The sequence below is a fragment of the Homo sapiens genome, chromosome 8 (genome assembly GCF_000001405.40).
Source record: "Homo sapiens chromosome 8, GRCh38.p14 Primary Assembly".
In the NCBI taxonomy this organism is placed as follows: Eukaryota; Metazoa; Chordata; class Mammalia; order Primates; family Hominidae; genus Homo; species Homo sapiens.
The window spans coordinates 14,480,380-14,499,439 of record NC_000008.11 but is presented as its reverse complement, the minus strand read 5'-3'; the positions used below and the strand labels follow the sequence as shown (position 1 = coordinate 14,499,439).

The window sequence follows — 19,060 nt, the reverse complement described above, 5'->3', positions numbered from 1 at the left end:
ATAATACAGAGAATTGAAAACCAAAAAGATGAAGAAAGAAATACAGGTATATATGATGCAAAAGAAAATTTATGTTGTGTCCTAAATATGTGATAAAATATAATTGAAGTTAAGACATTGTCTACTAATACATGTACAAGGAACAATATGTTAAGAAAATGTAATAGTTTTGAAAAGAAATTTACCCAATTCACAAATATGAAGTAGAACTTGCATATATAAAGTAAAATTTGATAGAGATATGGGTAGAAATAAAGAATCCATGGCTATAATTAGATTTTTCACACAAATTCTTAGAAACTGATACATCAAGCAATATAAGCAAATAACAGAAGATATGAATGATCAACTAAAATAAAATAATAAGAGGTCAAAATATTAAATGGAGAAGATCAAACCAGTGGGAACCATAGTAGGTGGAAATAATCACCAAATTTAAAGAGAATACATGTATTTTCTAGCATAACTGGACCATTCATAGATACTGCTGGTGTCATAGGCAAGACTAAAGAATTCTTCATGAAAAAAAAAAATGACTAAGACATCGAAATGTCCTGAAACTAAGACATTCAAAAGGAACACATATGAGGGTAAATATCTGGGTCGATGCAAAATATTGCACAAAAATTAAACAATAATATGGAGATTTAAAATATATGTTTTTAATTTTTAGCCACAGGGATTAATATAAATAAGATTCTGAACTTATGAGTAACACAAATAAGTAATAACATATTCAATTTTAATCAACAAGTGTTAAACAGTATAATGACTAGTATAACCACTAAAATAATAGCTCATGAATGTAGAAAAAGTTAAAAGGAAATAAGGAATAAGTGAATAATATTTAAGTTAAGAAAAGGCAAAAGAATTAAAGAACAGAAAGGTAAATATCTAAGTAAATGTTATGGGTTATTCTTTTGTTTCTAAAATTATTTTTTATGATTGAAAGCAAAAATAATGTTTTCTGTCATGGTTGTCAATATAGATTCCTAGATCCACTCATATTGCATTATGATAGCCATGCTTCATTATGATAAAAAGGGTATATCAACCAAAATGTATCAGAATTCTAAGTCTGAAGGAACCCAACAAAATACAAATTGTGGTGTGTTGTTACACTTTAATAAAAGATTTACTAAACCAAAAAATTCCATTTAAAATATAAATTAAACTCTAGAAGAACTATAAAAATTTTAAGGATTCATTCCATCAAAGGCTGGCATACAAAGTTATCAGCATATGACAGAGTAATAGAAAATGTTGACAATGCCTAGATAGAGAAAAGTGATTATTATTGACATTCAAATCAACAAAGAGTATAGTAAACTCACTAGAAAAATGGGCCCCCCAAAATCCCAATATGATATCAGCACTCTGACAAATGCCAATGTGCATGAATAAAATGTGATATGTATCTTCACCACTTGCTTAGAAAATATAAAACTTATAGATGATATTGTGTGATGAGGATATGAGGAAAAACAACCTTTATGGGCAATGGATGGGAAAGTAAATGGTTGTAAACATTTTGGAAAATAATATGGCAGGACCCATTTAAAATTATGCATGCCCTACAACCTAACTGTCTTATTGTTGGGTGTATATTCCTGATATAGTTTGAATGTGTGTCCCCTCCAAATCTCATGCTGAAATGCGTTCCCCAATGTTGGTGGTGGGACCCAGTGGGAGGTATTAGATCATGGGGTGGATCCCTTATGAACGGTTTAGCACAGGAATGTCCAGTCTTTTGGCTTCCCTGGGCCACATTGGAAGAAGAGTCATCTTGGGCCACACATAAAATACACTAACACTAACAATAGCTGATGAGCTCTCTCTCTCTCTCACACACACACACACAGACACACACACACACACATACGCACACACAAAGCTCATAATGTTTTAAGAAAGCTTACAAATTTGTGTTGGGCCACCTTCTTGTTGGGCCACATTCAAAGCTGTCCTGGGCTGCATTCAGCCTGCAGGGTGTGAGTCAAACAAGCTTGATTTACCACCATCTCCTTAGTGGTAAGTGAGTTCTTGCTCCATTAGTTCACGAGAGATCTGATTGTTTAAAACAGACTTGGACCTCTCCCTTCTTTCTCTTGCTCCCTCTCTGACCATGAGACACGCTGGCTCCCCTTCACCTTCTTCCATGATTATAAGCTTCAGGCCTTGCCAAGAACAGATGTCGTTGCCATGCTCCCTGTACAGCTTGCAGAACCGTGAGCCAAGATAAACCTCTGTTTTTAAAAAATAAATTACCCAGCCTCAGGTATTTCTTCATAGCAATATAAATGGACTAACACAACCCCTGACAGATTGTGACGCGTAACCAAAAGATGTCTTCATAAGGAGGCTATTTACAGAAGTGAATTCTATGGTAGCTGGATGTCAGTGTTAATTCTACTGCAAGACTGCATAGGGGAAAATGTGGTGGGTTCATTTTATTGAAAACTATGCAGCAGCTACAGGGAAATAAACAACCTAAAAGAACCTACAACAATGTGGGAATGTATGAAGAACATTATGCTCTGTGAAAAAAATTAGAAATAAAATAGATGTATATCATAATACTCTTTAAGAAAAATGTATACACTCTTGTTTATACACACACAGACACTGAGAAAACAACTTTCTTATTTTGTAAGAATTCTTTAAGAGTAAAGAACCTATATCAAACACATGAGAGTGCCTGTCTATGGCTAGGGAAAAGGAATAAAAGAATTAAATAAATAAGTAAAACCAGAGAGAAACTTCTAGGAAACAATAATGATAATGTCTCAAAAAATAAAGAATGTGATTAATTTTCTACAACTGTGATACAAAAACAGAGACTCTCAAAATCAAACTTAATGAGCTTTAGCATAGAGTTTCTTGTAGGGAAAAAATTAAATTTAAATACTTAGCTTGGATAGTTTGATGAAAGAATGGTGTACGTGAGGTAGTAAGATGCACCAAATACTCCCATGGGTGTATGGGAAGAAAATACTCAAGATACTACTTACTACTTGTATTCATTTTGTACTCCTTTTTCCAGCAGAATTTAGCATCTAAATGCTAGAGGAGGCCAGGCATGTTTACTCATGCCTGTAATCCCAGTGCTTTGTGGGGCCAACTCAGAAAGAATACAAGAAGCCAAGAATTCCAGACCAACCTGGGCAACGTAGTGGATTTTTGTCTCTCCAAAAAAAAATTTAAAAATTAGCCAGGCATGATGTTGTGCACCTGAAGTCCCATCTACTCAGGAGGCTGAGGCAGGAGGATTGCCTGAGGCCAAGAGTTTGAGGCTGCAGTGAGCCATGATCACGCCACTGCACTATAGCCTGGGTGACAGAATGAGAGCCTATCCCTTAAGAAATGAAAATAAATAAGTACTAGGAGACCACACGATCTTTCCAATTTCCAGCCCCTATTGCAGTGTTCTGTAGATTAAATATTTTGTGTATTCCCAGTGTTCCAGCTGTTTCTCTGTACATTTCAGGCTTGTTCTTCTGTCTACTCAAGTCCCTAGATCCAACAAATGTCCTTAGGGATGGACTCAGCTGCTGGCCTGTGATCACCCAGGAAGGGCTTGTTTTTCTCTGAAATTTAGTCCCCTGAAACTTTAGGCCCATAGCTTTTGGATGGCTTCAAAAATACAGTTTTTCAAAAAAACGTTTATCTAACGTCGTCTCATTATGGCAGGAGCAATTACCTTTGGTAACTTTCTGTTTTAATTGGAAGAAGAACCTCTGACATTAGCATTGTAATGAGGGTTTGGTCTTTCACCTTAATGAAGCAATTAAATCCAAATCTATTTTGTATCTTGTGCTTGTAATGAAGGATTAAATGAGAAAATATATGTAAAATGCATAATATAAAGGGTCAAATGTACACTATTGATATACAGTTATATTATGACTACATGCTGAAAACATATGATCAATCTGATCGCTTCCTGATATCAAAAGCCAGACTTTTTCAGTGATACTTAACTGTCAAATAATTCTATTTGATTTTTCAGTGGGGCTTAGTGTTTGGTCCGTAAACTGCTATTACAGTCTGCAAATCAGTTATGTCAATAAGCATGCTAATTTATTCAGCAGACATATTTTTTGTAGCAATAGTTACTCAATGAAAGAAGTAATGTATTGATTTAATTTCTAGTGGAAGCTACTTCTCTCATTGTGAACTGGTTACAAACATTTAACACTCCAGCTTTTCAGGGAGTACTGATAGGCATTACCCAAAGAAGATAATATGTTCCCATAAAGCAGGAACTCTTATTCCTCTTTATCTTCTTTTTGATAAACTCTACAAGCGCTTGGTACTGAATCCACATTCCTTGAGAGGTACGAAACAATCCTCCATAAATTTAAATTTATGCCCATGAAGAATCAACTGGGGAGCATGTTCAGAATGGGAGCTCCAGAAACCTATGGCAAACACATGGATATAAGGTTACGTTAGACACATTCCCCAAATTACCTTTAAATTCAATGGGAAAAAGTGACAAGGAACAATATTTAGGGCAGCAAGGATAATGCTACCTTCTCATGCCTAACATAAGCAAATTAAAATCTAATATTAATGCTCTGAAGTCTAATAATAAATAGTAAGGTTTATGTCTATCAGACAGCCACTGCAGGCTACTGCAAAAACCAGCTACACAACCATCTGAAAGCCATTTACCTCCCTCTGGTTACAAACAGTCACAAGTCTACTGATGTTGTAGTTAAGGCTGATCTTCTATCTTTCAGCAACAACGTTGTTTCTCAAATGCTACTATTTGACTGAAAAAAGTTTTGCAGCCAGAGCCTGTTGCAAGTATTGGTAAATTGAAAATACAAAATCAAACAACTTCTCATGAATGATTAAACATTGAAAAACTGCTGTAAGGAGCGTGTGTGTGTGTGGTGTGCGTGTTTGTGTGTGTGCATGTGTGTATGTATTCAGCTTTATCAACTTTAACTTTATTAACTTTATTTAAAACCTAATTTTAAAATTAGGGAGTGAAATATCATTCTTCTTCTCTCATCATAAAACTTTTGGCTCATGGGATTCTGACATTCTGTCACTCTTGGAAAAGTTGAATTCATGAAAACAGTAGCCGGGCTGAGCCACCCTATGCAGGTCTTACACAAGTGCTCCCTATTTTGTGTAACAAGCAATTTCACAAGCCCAAAGATAGTGATTGAGAGAGACAGGCTCTGAAGTCTCTTTATTTCAACTTCTTGGAATCACCATCTTGTTAATGCAGGCCAGTAAACACCAAATTTTTCTGTGTTGTTTATCAGATTAATTACTTTTTTCATAGAAACAGTGAGTTGGGAGGATAAGAAGCAAGAAACTCTGTCCATGCTTCCTCCTGAAAACACGCGAACAAATATTTTAACCCTGTTTTTAAGAGATGAATGGGTAGTACATTATTGCTTGGTTATTTGTCCTTCCACTTGTGACAGATTACTGCTGCATATTTTTTTCTCAATCTCTGGAATCATGGCTGAATTAGTACTTGTACTGAATTAGTAATTGTATCAAAAGTCCATTAGACTTATTGCCAAAGAGTGTGCTTGGATTTATCTATTATAAATAGTAATAAAAATATAAAAACAGTATTATAACTAAAATAATCCCACTACGGAGGAAAGTTACACACTGTTATGAAAGCCACTCTTATGAAAGCCTTTCATATTTAGGGATTCCAGGTAAGGCTTCCCTTGGTGGGAAAGACTGAAGAGCAAACCAAAACAAGATTAAGAGCTGATTATATAAATATGGGATAGTAGGGCCAGGAACGGTGACTCATGCCTCTAATCCCAGCACTTTGGGAGGCTGAGGTGGGCAGATCATGAGGTCACGATATCGAGACCATATTGGCCAACATGGTGAAACCCCATCTCTACTAAAAATACAAAAATTAGCTGGGTGTGGTAGTGCACACCTGTAGTTCCAGCTACTCGGGAGGCTGAGGCAGGAAAATCGCTTGAACCCTGGGAGGCAGAGTTTGCTGTGAGCCGAGATCATGCCGCTGTACTCCAGCCTGGCAACACAATGAGACTCCATCAAAAAAAAAAAAAAAAAAAAAAAAAAAAGAAAGGATGATAGTGGGAAAAGTATGTGAATAAGAAGACCAAAGTCCAGAAGACAAGAAGTATTTTACATTTAAGGAATAAAATATTATTGAATCATTCAGATTGAGGAGGTTCATGTCATCAGAGGAGAGGAGGGAGAAATACAAAGAACAGATTTTGTACTGCTTGAACACTATTTTGGACTCTTGATATTCATCCGATTACCAATGCAAAGTCTTTGGGAGTTTTTAAACAGAGCAATTTACAATGCAAATTGTATTTGCATTTTGAGTAAGTCATTCTGGATATAGAAAAGAGAAACATTTTTTGGAGAGACAATCAGGGAGAGCACTTTAGAGGTGGTCACCATAGCCCAGGTTAGAGAGTTGGGGGGTTAGATCCCATGATAGCAATGAAGACAGAAAGAGAAAAATTATTTCAAGAACTATAGAGAAGGTAAAATCTGAAAAGACTTGGTGATTGGAAATGGAAATGTGAAGAAGGAAATGTCAAGAATTACACTGAGATGTCAGGTGTAGGTAGAGGTTGATATCATTTTCTGGAAAAAAATCATAGGAACACAGGAAGAATACCACTTTTAGTGAAGAGACGTCCAGGTTGCTTAAAGTATCACGAAATGGAACTTTTCCAAATTCACTGAAGTAAATGAGGAAGGTTGAGCCTTGAGGCACAGAAGATGGTGAAAGTGGTAGCAGTGGCCTTGAGATCAGTACTTGTACTAGACTCAAGAAAAGTTAGTGAGAAATTTGAGCAGATAGAGACTAGAATATTTGAGTGGAAAAAAAAGCTTTCACTTTTCTTCGTAAATCTTGTGCTATTTGAGGAGTAAATAATTGGGCCTTATTTAGAGTTGCAAATTTGGGTAAGCACTGAAATAAACAGGAAATAGTATAAAATGGAAGCAGTTCACCAATTTTATTCTCTAAACATTTACTGATTTTCTTCCAGGTTTAAGTGTTATAATAAGCACTGTGCAGTAATTAACTTATCAACAATATTTTCTCATGTAATACACAAAGAAACATAATTTTTAAAGTCCAGTATTGCTTTCAGCTTATACCAATCCTTACCCATTATCCCAATTCATTTAATCAGATTATTTCAGTGATAAGTACATTTTGAAGTTAATGGAATATTTAAAAGGTTGTGATGATGTAACTGCTGGTGGATTCATGTTATTCAACACAATTTCATCATAAATCTTATCTATAAAATAAACATTTTAACACATCTATTATTCTCTCGCTTTATGTAAAGTTTATATCTATCATTTACTTCTATCAAAGTTTCATTTCTCGTTTTTTATTCTCAATCATAAATGACAGCATTAATTTTTACAAACATTAATGATGAGACATACTCGCTCATAACTATTTATATCTAAGTCGTCTTAGATTTATTGAACAATTTCTGAGTAACTAATGGCTAGCAATTTATTATTCTGTGATGATAAAGGATTTTACAGTATCCAGGCTTCAGACATATTTTTGAGAACTCATTTCTAATGGGTCAAAATTTAAATCAGTTGTAATACATGATTCATTCAAATATATTCTCCAGAATGAGCTATTAAAATGAAATACCAAAGTGGTTCCCCAAGACATCAATTTATAGCCTACATGTGCAGTGGAGAGTTACTGGACAGTGTAACAAAGAAAATTTTATTTCTTGTCTTCTTTTCCGTAAGATGTTTCTTACTCCCAGTAACATAAAAATGTATACTACAAGCAAGCAAACATTAACACACATATATTCATATTGATATCAGCTTTCCTTTATCTATTAAAGGATATAAAAAACTTGTGTTTTTTAGGATCTTGTAACTCCTTGTTTATTGGAAAGTACATAAATTCTTCACAGTCTTGAGAGTTATGTTTGGTACATTACTCAAATAGTGTCCAACCACTAGTTAGACAGCTTAGCACTCAAATCGCCTTAGAAATCTCTGCAGACTCACCTCATTTGAACAGTCCTGATAAATTACAGAAGTGAGTAATACACTGAGAGATCCCTGATGTGTGATGTTTTTGCCTGTAGAGTATTTTATGTGTTGATCCACTGGAGTGTGTGTGTGTGTGGGTGGGTGGGTGAGTGTGTGTGTGTTTACATTGTGGTATGTGTCTGTTCGGTGTATCGCCATTAGGGCTTTGGAGGAGTGAGGACCATAAATTTGTAAACATTCCTACATACCTGCTTCATAAGACATGTACCAAACATAGTCAAAAGTAACTAAACCAAGTAAACAAATTAGATCTCAATTAAATTTAATACTGGGCTGGAAAGAAGTATTCAAGGCCAAGTAAAATGAGGAAACATAACAAAATAAATGAAATGTTTAAATTGATTAGTAGAATGAGACAGGAATAATTTTCAAGGTTTTTAATTTTTGATGAATATCGGTATATAAAACTAAGAATTATATGGCTGTCAATTGATTAAATACAGCACTTAAGATTTTAGCTCCTGAAACAGCAATATATGAGCTTCTAATTCCACTTTTCTGTCTCAAGAATGACCTGTTAAAATGATTTTTTTTTTGAAATGATCAATTCTCACCTTGAAAGAGCTTAATAGAGCTTACATGAGAATCTGGATTGTCATAAGAGGTCTGATGTTTTTAGTGGTATGTTTGCATTTCTGTTATGTACATCAGTGTCAAACATTCATTTCCTGAGCTGTTCTCAAGAACACAATTTGACTTGTAATGGACACTCAATAAATGATTGGTTGGATGATCAAATCAACACTTATTTCTATGAATTTTAATATCATATGAAAGTGATCTTTTATACTCATCAATGAAACAGAGAGAGACGAGAGACAAAGAGCAATTAAGAGTAAGGGGATGAGAATCAGACCTCATTTTGCAGTGTGTTTCCTACATTGTTCATTTTTGAATGCTTTGAAACACTTATCATACTCAAAATATATTGGTATTTCCTAGGCAGAAAATGGGATTCAAAGAAAGTCCATATTTCTATCTTACAATAACTTACACTATAATGCACAGAAGACATAAATTTCTAAACTACTCTATTCATAGAAAACGTAGGTAAATTTAGGTGAGCAAGAAGCAGGAGAAAGTTTAGTAATCAAGCTGAGTGTGATTGTGAGATTCAATCTAATATTATCTTATACAATTATTGTACCATGTAAAAGTTGACATATCTGTTGAAATAAAAGGCAGGAGAGTTGGCCGGGCATGGTGGCTCACACCTGTAATCCCAGAACTTTTGAAGGCCAAGGCGGGTGGATCACAAGGTTTGGAGTTTGAGACCAGCCTGACCAACATGGTGAAACCTCATATATACTAAAAAGACAAACATTAGCTGGGCGTGGTGGCATGCACCTTTAATCCTAGCTACTCAGGAGGCTGAGGCACAAGAATCTCTTGAACCTGGGAGGCGGAGGTTGCAGTGAGCCAAGATCGTGCCACTTGTACTCCAGTCTGGGCGACAGAGCGAGACTCCATCTCAGGAAAAAAAAAAAAAAGGTAGGAGAATTTTTCGGCGAGCCAGTGAAATCTGCTGCATGATGTTAGGAGAGAGGTTAGTCAATGTGATTAGGCCAGATGTGTTTATTAACTGAGGCCTAGGAAAGTTAGATTCCTAACCTCTCACAGAGACTGGGAGATAGGGGAGCTAAATTGTGTAAGATTTATATTTACGATATATTTAATAATATATAAGAAAGAAATATGCCAATTTCAAGTCTTTTTTCTAGTTGGCAATACTTTATTTTCACAACATCATTATTTTTTAGTACCTCTGTTTTGGGCGTTTAAAAAGTGGGTTAAAAAAGCCAGACCATCTCCCTTTTTTCCACCTTCCCCTTTACTGCCATTTACATCCACAGGCACATGCACTCACACATATTGACCAAAATTAATTTACATGTACAAATGTGTTCTTTGAAGCAAAAAAGTCAATCTATTTGGTAAAATTGTCATGCTTATTTGAATTATATTTATAATGTTGTTAAGAAGAAAGAACGTCCTTAATTTTTTGAAGACCCTATTCTGTGTCCATTTTATAATTTTGTGGCCACCGAAAGAAATATGCCAAATTGTAGACACAGTGAATGTAGTAAGTGGTAGTTTAAAATGTTTAATTTTTACAAATCGTTGTTCCCGTTCTAATTTTTGAATGCAACCACAGCCTCTTGCAAAACAGCCTTGTTAAACTAATTCGCTGTTAATGAATTCTTAAGTAAAAGGTGACATGCACAGGAATTTATATTGCCCTTTTATGTTTAATAAAATTAAAAGCCTGAAAAAAAAGATGCGTTCTGTGAATTTGAATTACTTTATGTTCAGTTCCACTGGTTGCAGTGTTTTATCTTTATATTATATATATACATATATATTATGTATATCTATATATATATAATTGGTTGATGAATTTTTTTCTTTTAGATACTGCTGCTGAATCCATGGAGGAAAAAAAGGGTAAATTTCCAGAACTAATTAATCTTTAGTTAAATGTCAAAGAAAAATTGCAAGAGATGGTGTTAAAGAGGTGGGGAAAATGTTATTTAAGACTATTGCAAAAGAGGTCAAGATTATTGCAATAAAGAGAAAGATTGAATTCAACTCTGCTGAAACAAAAGGCAGGAGAGTTTGCATTAGCGAGGGAAGTCTACTGCTTGATGTTAGGAGAGTGGTTGGTCAATGTGATTAGGCCACATGTGTTTTCTAATTGAAGTTTAGGAAAGTTAGGTTCCTAACTTCTCACAGCGATGGAAAGATTGGGGCACTGTCTTTCTAGATGATTACATTTCAATGGGTTAGCTCCGAGATCCTTGAGAGGCATTTCCATGTTGTAAAACTGGCTAGAGGCTAGGGGATGATTTACATCTCAAAGGGGCAATTGCAACTTTATTGAAGTGAGTAATCTTAGGAAGCACAAGCGAAGGGCCTAGCATCAGAAGGAAACCTCTTTAAACTTTTGTCTAGCTGGAGGGGAGTTAAGGCCATTGTGGTCTCTTGCTCATAAGCAATGGATGAAAACAGCTTACTTTAACCGTGGCGATGGGACGCAGAATTTCAAACTTTTATCCATAATACAATATAGAATTAATATCAATCCATCAATCCTGGGCTTCTAATAAAAGGACAACAAATGTGTTTTTGTTTGTTTTATTAATAATATCATCAAACTAGTGAGACAGTAGGGAACAACCAGGTCACGATTTAGATAGGACCAGAAGAAGTTAAAAGGGGAATCCAGCGTTCAGAACTCTTTTCGTGTCAGGGAATTTACTTTTCTGGAGAAGCCACCAAAAGTCTGAGCTGCACATTTGGGAGCCTCAGGGACTTAGGAGGAGAAAAGTTGTTTTTTAAAGCTTCTCAAAAGTGGGGTTCCTGATTAACCACTGAGGTTTCCTGGAAAGCCAAAAGATCGTGTCCTGAAAGAAAAGATAAAACAGAATTAAACTTGTCATAACACTTACTACAGAGTAGAAACGCCAGTCCTTAAGACGCTCACTTCGGTTGTACATGTGCTACAATTGGAATAAGACAGACAACACTAGCAGGCCCCCTGTCCAAAGATGACATGTAGATTTGGATTTGTGACACAATCTCTGTTTTTAAAAAGTAGCACTGAGGTACGAATACCTTAAAATTATATTAAGTATTAGTAATTCTGAGATTACTAATTCCCTCAGGCACCTGGCCAAAGAAATTTCTCTCTGGGGTAAGATAAAATCAGCTGAGGATTCAGCAATATTATAGGTTTAAACCATCCTCAAGTAATATTTTACCCCTAAGAAACATAATTGAAATAAATTATCACTAAACAGAAGAACAATGGTTTGAAGTCAAAAGCATTTCAAGACTCAAACTCTTAGAATCTGGAAGGAACAGTATAGCACAAATCAGCACATCTAGGTGAGAAACAAGTAATCATAAAGTAAGAGAGGCAATGTTATGGTATCTATATTGCATAAAGTGCTATACTTTGCCATACATCATTTGTCTCATAATATATTATATTCCTTATAGCTTACAAATATTATTATTTTTTAAAAATCAACATACTTGCAAGTATTTTAACAGGACTTGATACAGGATGGTTTCATATTCTTATTTAGAGTACCAATAAAAATAAAGCGTTTACAATTACATTAGGAAATGATGAGGTGGAATATAACTGACCCTACACAAGTCAAGTGTTAAAGGACCATGATCATACAGCTAAGGAAAGAGAGAGGACAGTTTGGATAACCTATTAAAGGCAAATGATTCCATTATGGAACCACATTCCCTGGAGGAATCAAAGATGAGGACTGTGAATCTGGGCTCAGAGTCACTCCTAGTGTGAACACGTCACTGTTCTGATTGTGATATTTAGGTGGCACACATGTTTCAGACAACATAGTCCTGAACTGCATGAAACTGCTTCATTCCATGCTCTACTAATTATTACTCTGTTCCAATGTTCAGGATTCTGTTAGATTCCATGAGAGATGTATGCTAATACTGTTGGCTTTACATGATTTGCACCTTAATAATTAACTTTAAAACGTAATCATTCACAGCCCAAGTGTGGTGGCTCATGCCTGTAATCCCAGCATTTTGGGAGGCTGAGGTTGGAGAATGGCTTGAGCCCAGGAGTAAATTAGCTGGGTATGGTGAGGCAAGCCTGTGGTCTCAGCTACTTGGAAGGCTGAGGCGCAGCATTGCTTGATCCCAGGAGGTTGAGACTGCAGTGAGCCGTGATGGTGCCGTGGCACTTCAGCCTGGGCAGCAGAGAAAGACACACGTGCGCACGCGCGCGCACACACACACACTCATTACTCACAAGAAGTGCAGTTAATCCTAAGTTCTCCATGAGTGGCTTGTAGCATAGTGTTTACAAATAATGTTTGATCTTTATTATTTAGGGAATATATTACTTAGGAGACAGCCAGCAAGACACCAAATACAATGTGTTAAAGAGAAGGCACTGTATTTCTCTCTTGAGTAACAGTGAGTAGTTGAGGGATCCATGGCCAGTGGGAGGCTCTGCTCCATTTCTTCTCCCAGACACCCGTATTTAGTGGTTCTTACTACCATGCATACTCAACATATGGCCTCTATATCTGGTTCCACAGGAACTACAACAATGCAATTTTCCAGGCAATTTCAAGGGGGAGAGGAAGTGTAGGCAAGTTTGATCTTTAAAATGGCAACCAAAAGATAGTGTGGCTATATTTATTGTCCAAACCAGAACAACTTTGAGGGGGAAAAACGAGCATGCTAAACATAGTTACATATTTTTTGAAATATTTATTAACTGACGTTATTTTGTATTGTATCAGTAGATCTAAAAAAATTGTTCTACCCCGTCTCTACTAAAAATACAAAAAATTAGCCGGGCGCGGTGGCGGACGCCTGTAGTCCCAGCTACTCGGGAGGCTGAGGCAGGAGAATGGCGCGAACCCGGGAAGCGGAGCTTGCAGTGAGCCGAGATTGCGCCACTGCAGTCCGCAGTCCGGCCTGGGCGACAGAGCGAGACTCCGTCTCAAAAAAAAAAAAAAAAAAATTGTTCTAGAGAAAATATAAAGTAGTTAAACAGCGTATGTCCTTGTGCCTGCTGTCATAGAAAGGAAAGTGCTGGCTGTGTTGCATGTGTCTAGTGAGAGTTGAGGAAAGATAGACCAATTAGATTACTGGACATCTTTCAGATATAAGCTTCTGTTACAGTGAGAACCCTTCTTGCCCTGTCCTCACGCATGTCTCATGTACTATGAGAGGAAACCGAGGGAGAATCTGGAAGCACAGGACCCATCAGGGCCTACCTTAATGTAAGCATTAATAATGTGGTTAAAAATGAAAAATTTGGCTGGGCATGGTGGCTCATCCCTGTAATCCCAGCACTTTGGGAGTCTGACGTGGGCAGATGACGAGGTTAGGAGATCAAGACCATCCTGGCTAACAAGGTGAAACACCATCTCTACTAAAAACACAAAAAATTAGCCTGGCATAGTGGCGCACGCCTGTAATCCCAGCTACTCGGGAGGCTGAGGCGGGAGAATCGCTTGAACCCAGGAGGCCAAGGTTGCAGTGAGCCAAGATCATGCCACTGCATTCCAGCGGGGGCAGGGGGTGGAGGGAGGAGAAAAAGAAAAATTCTGGGATAAATCCTAAACTAGATAGGAAGATAGGAATACTGATAGGAAATGTAGTTTTTAGTTGGATCATCATGTATCCCACAAAATCTCAAGGCAAGATTCTGAAACAAGTAACAAGAAGATGAGAGGAAATTCTGCATAAATTAGTAGCCTCTGTCTCAGTGCCTTCCATGACTTTCCTGCTTTCTTGCTTTAAATAATTATTTTTAGTCCTTTAAAGCCATAAAGAGAAACAAAATACTTACAGTGTGTGAGCAAAAGTGTATTATTTCAGGGTAAGACTCAATGTCAAACTGTTGCTATTACTGATGACTTTTAGTAATACTTATATATAATAATTTTGCTGTAAAGCATTTAATTTATCTTATTATACTATGAAGCAACAGAAGTATCACCAAGAAATGCATTTAACTTAGAGCTAAATGATCTCTATGGTTCATTACCAACAATGATTTTCTGTAGTTGTATTATGTGAATCATATTAATGAATGACAGAAACATTTTAGATATAAATATGGGCACAATATTTTAAAATTGATTCAAACAATAATTCTTTTGCTTAAATATAATATTCCCATCTTTCAGAAGAATAAATTACCTAAAAAATGTATATTTCTTAAAACCACAGCAAAAACGGAACATAAAATATAATTCCAGATCTATCTTTTTCCATACCAGGATGCTCCCATTGTACTGTAACATTTGTTCTATGTGTGTAAAAAAACCGGGAAACTGCTAACCAAGATAGCAATGAAATGTTTTAAAAATCACATCAATGCAAGTTTCTGAATTAAAAAATTTATTTGTAAACCTTTAAAAATATAACAAAACATAATTCTATATTTAAAAGTTATTTAAAACAATGGTATATGACTTGCTGTGGTCACTATTTCGGAGTCACTAACTTGCATCGTTTGCACTTAGCTCTCTTCTTACCATTTCTCTCTGATATATTCATGAAAGTTTATTATACAGAGCCATACTAATAGCAAACTATGATAGAAATGGAAATAAAAAATATCAGAATTACATTTCCACATCCAAACGTCATTGAGTTGTATAGCTAGTTTCATAATCTTAATAAATATAGTGTATAACCAGTTTGTACATATGTATAACTTGCTGTAATAATTGAATTGTTTCAATCTTTAGAGAAACTTCAGGTATAATAAAGTAACATGTGATGTCTAATAAAGTGGCATATTTTCCAGTGTTCTTCTATGGTCATTAAGGTGTAGAAACTGCAAAAAGTTGGATTTTCATGGGCTGGATGCCAAGTAGAGAGAAGAAAATTATCTTTAATCCATGTAGTCAGCAATCAGAACATACATGTTAGGGTGATACATAAAGGAGTAAACTTGATTTTATTAAAAGATTGCTTGTATAATCAAAACAACCTTATTTTCAGGCTAAACTGAAAATAAAATAACTTTGTCATTTATGCTGCATATATTCATATATACATAGTATTTTATATATGTTAATTTACCTTAATTGAAACCTGTTATTCTTATACAAGTAACCAAGACGTACCCATTAGTAGTTCAGGATCAAATGTGATCATTCACATAGTACAATATACTCTCTTTGAATTTCTTTATCAACGTAATTTACATGGCCAAAAATGAATAAATTAGTGTTGAAATCAAATACCTTTTTGTGTGTTTTGTTTCTGAGACAGGGTGTCACTCTGTTGCCTAGCCTGGAATGCAGGAGTGCAATCACAGTTCACTATAGCCTTGACTTCCTGGGCTCAAGCAATCCTCTTGCTTCAGCTTCCCAAGTAGCTGGGACCACAGGCAGGTACCACCATGCCCAGCTAATTTTTTAAATTGTTTGTAGAGACGGAGTCTCACTGTATTGCTCAGGCTGGTCACAAAGTCCTAGGCTCAAGCCATCCTCCTGCCTATGCCTCCCAAAGTGTTGGGATTACAAGTATGAACCATTGCACCAGCCCTCAAATCCCATTTGTTCTACAATTGCCTTCTGCCAATGATTGTCACGCGTACTTAAAATAAGATTTTGTTTTAAAGGCATGTTTTTTGAAATGTAAAAATCTGATCTGCCTCAGAGATACAAAGTCAGGCTATTGAGGGAAGCCTGAACTTCATGAGTATTAAAATACACACAGATGATTTCAATGTTTAAGTGTGGGTAAGAGATAGAGCCTGTGGAAATGAGAGAGAAATTGTGTTGTATGTCAGGGCAATCTAGAGAAAACAGAAGCAATAGGATATGTGTTTGTGTGTGTGTGTATAAAGATATATGGTGTAAGAATTGGCTCACGTGTTTACGGAGTTAGGGAACCTGAAAAGTCCCCACTGTTAGTGGTCTGCAAACGGAGACCCAGGGGAGCCAGTGGTGTTAATTCCAGCCTAAGTCTGAAGGCCTGAGAATGAGAAGTGACAATGGTATAAGGCCTAGTCCAAGGGCAGGAGACAATCAATGTCTCCCCTCGTGCAGTCAAGCAGAGAGACAGCATTCTACCTTCCTCTGCCTTTTTGTTCTATTCGGGCCCTCAGCAGGTTGTATGATCCCCACCCTCATTGGGGAGGGCCATCTGCTTTACTTATTTCGCAGATGCTAATATCTTCCAGAAACATTCTCACAGAAACACCCAGAAATAATGTCTAACCACTATCTGGGCATCCTGTAACCCAGTCAAGTCGAAGCAGAAAATTAACCACCACACCCGTCTTAATCAAGCAAGAAAAGACTCTTCCAAAGTTGTTATACTTGTTAACAGATAAGAAAACAAAATGATTTTGTTTCTGAGAGCGGTAAGGGAGATTAAAGGAGGAAAAATCAGGCACAAGTGTAAAGAGGAAGGTGAAGTGAGTAAAGTGTTTTACCCATAACTCTGACTCCCAAAGCTTGACTGAATTCTCCAAAATACAGGAAATGCTGTTTGCTTGTGAAATTATGTATGCTTTCCGTAAAAGGTAGAAAGTGTTGCACAGGTTTACGCAGTCTTGAGAGGCAGAGATGAACCTGTCATTTGCAGATATGAACACAGCTCAAGGTGGTTACCCTGGACACTCAAGGAGGGGAAGTTAGATATTAGAACCAGGGATGGATGCTCACTGAGTTAGTCAGTCAGTCCCTGGATCACTCAGGGGAAAACTATGTTGATTTTTGGAGCTCTTTCTTTGTCTAGTTCCTACCTTAAATTTAAGATACTCGCTTAGTCCTCCTGCAATAGCATTTCTGTCCCTTTAACTCAGGGATTTCTCCAAGCTCTGTCTGGGTTCTGCTGTCAATGGTGTGGTCCGGTAGGTATCCCCAGGCAGAAATCAGGGGCTATTGTAGATCTTACGTTGTTTGTTTCTCTTCTCAACTGCGGAAAACCAGTCCTTAGGAGCCAATTGTCCAATGTTTGAAAATGATTGTTTCATATAGTTTGTCTAGTTTTCCAGCTGTTTATAAAGGAATCGGTTATCCCTTGATTAGAGATGGAACCTCTCATCTACTGAACATTTTACTTCAATTTAAAAGTTTTTAATTTTTTAAATTTTAATTTAATTACAGGATAATAATCCATTCTCCTAGTATAAAATTCAAATGTTAGGTAATAAATATTAATAAAAAAACTCCCTTCCACTTTAACTACCAGAGGCAAGTGATGTTACAAAATCCTTGTGTCTTCTAGAGTTATATGTATCTATAAAATAAAACAGTAAACTCAGCCATAATGAGATAATGGGGTCTAAAGGAATTAAATTGCACAAAATGTTTGGTCAAATTTATTGTGAGATTGATAAAAATTATTTTTTACTATTACTGTCACAAAAAGCACAAAATTCATGACTTTGAAACTTATTGCATGCATTCCTTATTAGTGAATTGAGTAATCCCCATTGATTGTGAGGCAGTGATTTCTATGACCCCTCCCCATCTCATTACTTATAAGTCATGTATGAGTCTCCTTTGTTCTATAACTTTTCTGACACTTGGGACTGGAATTTTAACTTTTCTTCACACTGGCTAGTGTAAAATGTCATCCTGCCCTGTGTTGAAATAGCATTTCCCTGGTTACCAAAATTAAGCATCATATATTAATTAACTATTCATGTTTTCATATTTTGTATAATGTGTGTATCATTTGTGCATTATTTAATTGGGTTATTTGTATTATTCTTTATATATTCTGGATATTAACACTTTGCTGTTTATATGTTGATTATATTAATATTTTCTTCTAGTTTGTTGGAAGCCTTTTTATTTTTCTGAGAGCATCTATTGATAAATATAAACTGTGAATATTAAAGTTATCAAATGTTCAAGATAACTTCATTCATTAAGTCTTTACAAGTCTTTTATAAGAATGTTATTCTTTTTTCAAACTTTTAAGTTCAGGAGTACAAGTGCAGGTTTGTTATATAATTAAACTTGTATCATGGGAGTTTGTTGTGATAATTAAAGACATATGTGACCTTTGAAACTTTAACAGTTTTGAAATAAATATAGAAGAATACAATTATGTTATTATAAATATATTCTTTATTGTCATTATAAAGAATATAGTCTTTATAATGAAATGTCTTTAATATTCAAGAAGTTTATATCTATGTATTATGTGGAATAAGCATAAGTTTTTTGTAAGGTTAGAATTTCAAGCCCCGAGCTCTGTTACTGAAGGAGTCAGCATGATGAGAATGATTAAACACGAACATTGAATAAATTTGTAAATTGAGTATAAAGAATTACGTGGTAGTTATAAGCATAACGAAGTCATGAAAGTGGATTTAAGTACTGTTGGTGTGTAGCAAAGGGTAAACATTGAAATAATAGAGAAATTTAGGAAACTTCAAATTTTGTGGGGAGATAAGGTGGATTTGGCAAAGAAGGATGAGAAGAATTAGCCA

General features: G+C 35.8%; 1 protein-coding gene and 1 pseudogene across 4 annotated transcripts in view, besides 3 other annotated features; both read left to right on the top strand.

Annotated features, from left to right (window-relative positions):
- SGCZ (sarcoglycan zeta) overlaps positions 1 to 19,060 on the top strand; it is a 1,153,587-nt gene that overhangs the window by 738,992 nt on the left and 395,535 nt on the right. The window lies entirely within an intron of this gene.
- Positions 10,547 to 11,299: an enhancer, noted in NCBI's record as "OCT4-NANOG hESC enhancer chr8:14345650-14346402 (GRCh37/hg19 assembly coordinates)". NCBI's record gives its function as "activates a minimal SCP1, AML or CMV promoter by ChIP-STARR-seq in naive and primed H9 embryonic stem cells {active_cell/tissue: H9 hESC(naive and primed)}" and the evidence as "EXISTENCE:reporter gene assay evidence [ECO:0000049][PMID:30033119]".
- On the top strand, positions 11,561 to 11,664 carry RNU6-397P (RNA, U6 small nuclear 397, pseudogene; annotated as a pseudogene).
- Positions 12,606 to 12,900: an enhancer, noted in NCBI's record as "tiled region #1875; HepG2 Activating non-DNase unmatched - State 24:Quies". NCBI's record gives its function as "activates a minimal TATA promoter and a strong SV40 promoter by Sharpr-MPRA in HepG2 cells {active_cell/tissue: HepG2}" and the evidence as "EXISTENCE:reporter gene assay evidence [ECO:0000049][PMID:27701403]".
- Positions 12,606 to 12,900: a silencer, noted in NCBI's record as "tiled region #1875; K562 Repressive non-DNase unmatched - State 24:Quies". NCBI's record gives its function as "represses a minimal TATA promoter and a strong SV40 promoter by Sharpr-MPRA in K562 cells {active_cell/tissue: K562}" and the evidence as "EXISTENCE:reporter gene assay evidence [ECO:0000049][PMID:27701403]".